This window comes from Homo sapiens, chromosome 7, assembly GCF_000001405.40.
Source record: "Homo sapiens chromosome 7, GRCh38.p14 Primary Assembly".
Taxonomy (NCBI): Eukaryota; Metazoa; Chordata; class Mammalia; order Primates; family Hominidae; genus Homo; species Homo sapiens.
In genome coordinates this window covers 20,485,293-20,488,777 of record NC_000007.14, presented here as the reverse complement: position 1 = coordinate 20,488,777, position 3,485 = coordinate 20,485,293, and the positions used below count along the sequence as shown (strand labels likewise).

Genomic DNA, 3,485 nt, shown 5'->3' with positions numbered 1-3,485 from the left:
TTTATATTTATTTCAGGATCTCTGAGCTTCCAGTATCTGGATGTTTAAATTTCTTGCTAAACTTGGGATTTTTTTCAGCAATTATTTTATTAGTGGACTTTTAATGTTTTTTATATTCTCTTCCCCTTCTTAAATTCCCAACATTTGAATATTTGGTTGCTTTATTGTTTCCCACATGTCACAGAGACTTTCTTCATTATTTTAAATTCTTTTTTGTTTGTTTGTTTCTGACTGGGTTATTTCAAACGACCTGTCTTCAAATTTAGAAATTGTTTCTTCTGGCCAGGTGCGGTCGCTCACACCTGTAATCCCAGCACTTTGGGAGGCCAAGATGGGTGGATCACGAGGTCAAGAGATCAAGACCATCCGGGCCAACATGGTAAAACCCTGTCTTTAATAAAAATACAAAAAAATTAGCTGGGCGTGGTGGCATATGCCAGTAGTCCCAGCTACTTTGGACGCTGAGGCAGGAGAATTGCTTGAACCTGGGAGGTGGATGTTTCAGTGAGCTGAGATCATGCCACTGCACTCCAGCCTGGCAACAGAGTGAGACTCTGTCTCAAAAAAAAAGAAAAAACAACAACAACTTTCTTTCTTCTGCTTGGTCTGTTGTTGGAGCTCTCAGTTGTATTTTTTCTTTCATTTATTGAATTCTTTAGTTCCAGGATTTCTATTTGGTTCTCTTATGATATCTGTTCCTTGTTAAACTTCTTCTGTAGATCATGAAGTGTTTTTCTTATTTATTTGCATTATCTGTATTCTCTAGTATTCCATCAAATTTCTTTAATATAATTATTTTTAATTATTTTTAAGGCCATTCATGGATTTTCTTTTTGTTGGGACCAGTTACTGGAGAATTGTGTTTCTTTGGAAACATGTCATGTTTCCTTGCTTTATCATGTTTCTTGTTCCTTACATTGATATCTGCATATCTGGTGTAACTGTTGCTTCTCCTAATGTTATGTATTGGCTTTCACAGGAAAAGACATTTTCCTATAGATGTATCTATAGTGGCTGGGTAGGGTACTTTGGCTTTGATTCTGGATGAGTGCAGCAGTGTAGTCTCTGTATGATTTCTTTAGCTGTAATCAGTGTCAGTGGTGTCTGTGACTTAGTGGCTTAGACTTTAGTTGTTAGTGGAGGCTGTGGCAAGGCTCCACTGGGGACAAGGACATCAGGCATGATTTTTCTCAGGTCCCTGGGAGATGTTCCAGGCATGGTGATTAAGGGTCTAGGCAGGCAGGTCCTTTTGGCCTCCGGGTGACTTGCTTGGGTGGCAATGGTGGCTGGACTGAGTGGGTGAACGGGTGGGTTCTTGGGCCCCTGTTGACATCAGTGGTGGCAATAGTAATGGCGGTCCAATCCTCAGGCCCCTGAGTGGCATGTAGGGGGTGCTAGCAGTGGCGATGGTTGGCTTGGTGGTTCAGTTCTCAGGCCCCCTGATAGTGCACACAGGTACTTGTGGCAGTGGAAATGGGTGGGGCTGGCCTTTCCTCAGATCCCTGGATGGCACACATGTTCAACAATGGCAGTGGTGGGTGGGGTGGACCTGTCATTAGGCCCCCTGGTGGAATGCACAGGCCAGCCAGAGCAGGTTGAGTGGATCAATCCTTGGGACCCCAGACCATGCATGTGGGCACCAGTGGCACTGAGTGACACAGGCTTGTTCTTAGGCCCAGTGCCTGAGCAGGCCAGTCCCAGGCCCTCTGAAGGTACATACAGGAGGCTGGAGGAAGTGAGGTTGTTGTCAGCGGTAATCTCCTTAGGCAGTTAGTTCTTAGGCTGCAAGCAGAGTAAGCTTTGGCTTCTTTTGTCCTGGGGGCAGCTTTCCTAGTGTGCTGCACTGCCTGTTCCCCAGGGTATAGGACACTGCCTTGGTTAGAGTCCTTGAGACGCAGCCACATTGCTGGGTGCATCTGGTGGTGCAATGCTACAGTGCTCTGAATGGATGTTGGGGGATGGAAGTGGAGCTTCAGGAATGTGGAGATTCAGGGGCTGTTGGGCTCCAGAGGCGGATATAGCTGGTGGGGACTGGGCTCTCAAAAGGGCCCTGTGCTGCAGCTGCTTGGGTCTCAGGGGGTGGGTGGGACTCAGCACAAACCCCTTCTCTGGAATAATGTCACTATGTAGACTCCAGACATCTCCTGTACTAGTATCAGAGTCCATAAGGGCAAAGAAACTCTCTTGTGGCTAGGATTGCAGGGGTCCATAGTGAGAATATGAACAACTGGGGATATCTTAGTTGTCTTTTCCCTACAATAGAGAGTTTCTCCTAGCTTTGAACCAATCCCAGCCAGGCTGGCTGTTTCGCTTTCCTCTCTTTCTATGCCTCAGTTGTTCCCTGTCACTTTCCTGCTGAATTCCAGTGTTCTCTCTTAGAAGCTCTATTTGATGTATGGTTATCTACTTACCATTTTGGTCCTTCTTTGTGGTTAATCAGTCATATGGAATTCCACCCTCTGCCCTTCATTTTAAAGTTTGTTACTATGTATATAAACATTAAAAATTGCAATTTTTCTTTTTCAAATTCAATTTTTAGTTTTTTAGTGACCATTTTTATCTTTTCTTTTCCTTTTTGGGACAGAGTCTCCCCCTGCTGCCCAGGCTGGGGTGCAGTGGCACGATCTCGGCTCACTGCCAGCTCCACCTCTCGCATTCATGCCGTTCTCCTGCCTCAGCCTCCCGAGTAGCTGGGACTACAGGCACCTGCCACCACGCCTGGCTAATTTTTTTGTATTTTTAGTAGAGACGGGGTTTCACCATGTTAGCCAGGATGGTCTCAATCTCCTGACCTTGTAATCCACCTGCCTTGTCCTCCCAAAGTGCTGGGATTACAGGCGTGAGCTACCACGCCCGGCCGACCATCTTTATCTTTAATATTTTTTTGCCTTTATGTTTATTTTGTCCGGTTTTAATATAGGTATTCCAGCATTCTTCAGTTTAGTATTTATCTGATATATCTTTTTCACTCTTTCCACATTTTCTTTCATTTCTTTATGATAATGGGACTCTTACAAACAAAACTTAACAGGTTTTTAAAAATATTGAATTTAATATTACAAAATTTATTTTAAATGAAGAATTATTTTAAATGTATAATGATCACTAATATATGTTATTGGTTCTATTATTTTATTATGTGTTTCCTATTTGCCTAAGCTTTTCTGTTTCTCCTTAACTCTTTTCTTACTAGTTTATTGTTGTTTTTTCATTTTAATTATGAGTTTTTTTAACCCATACAGAAATTTTATATTTGTTTGGTTAAATTTATTGATTTTGGGAATTGCATTTGGATTTTGAATTTATAGTTGCCATTTTTCATTCTCATGACTAGTGTATTTCAACATTTCTGAGAAATTCTTACCCTTTATCTATTCTAATTTTGCTTCATCTCAATTTCCTTTATTATTTCTTTTGGAGCCCTGACTAGATGTGTTATCTTAACCTATTTTTAATTTCATAGGTTTTTTATTTTTTCTGGGCTA

At 42.0% G+C, this 3,485-nt stretch overlaps 1 annotated feature.

The window, feature by feature from the left end:
• Positions 1,213 to 1,712: an enhancer, noted in NCBI's record as "H3K27ac hESC enhancer chr7:20526689-20527188 (GRCh37/hg19 assembly coordinates)". NCBI's record gives its function as "activates a minimal SCP1, AML or CMV promoter by ChIP-STARR-seq in primed H9 embryonic stem cells {active_cell/tissue: H9 hESC(primed)}" and the evidence as "EXISTENCE:reporter gene assay evidence [ECO:0000049][PMID:30033119]".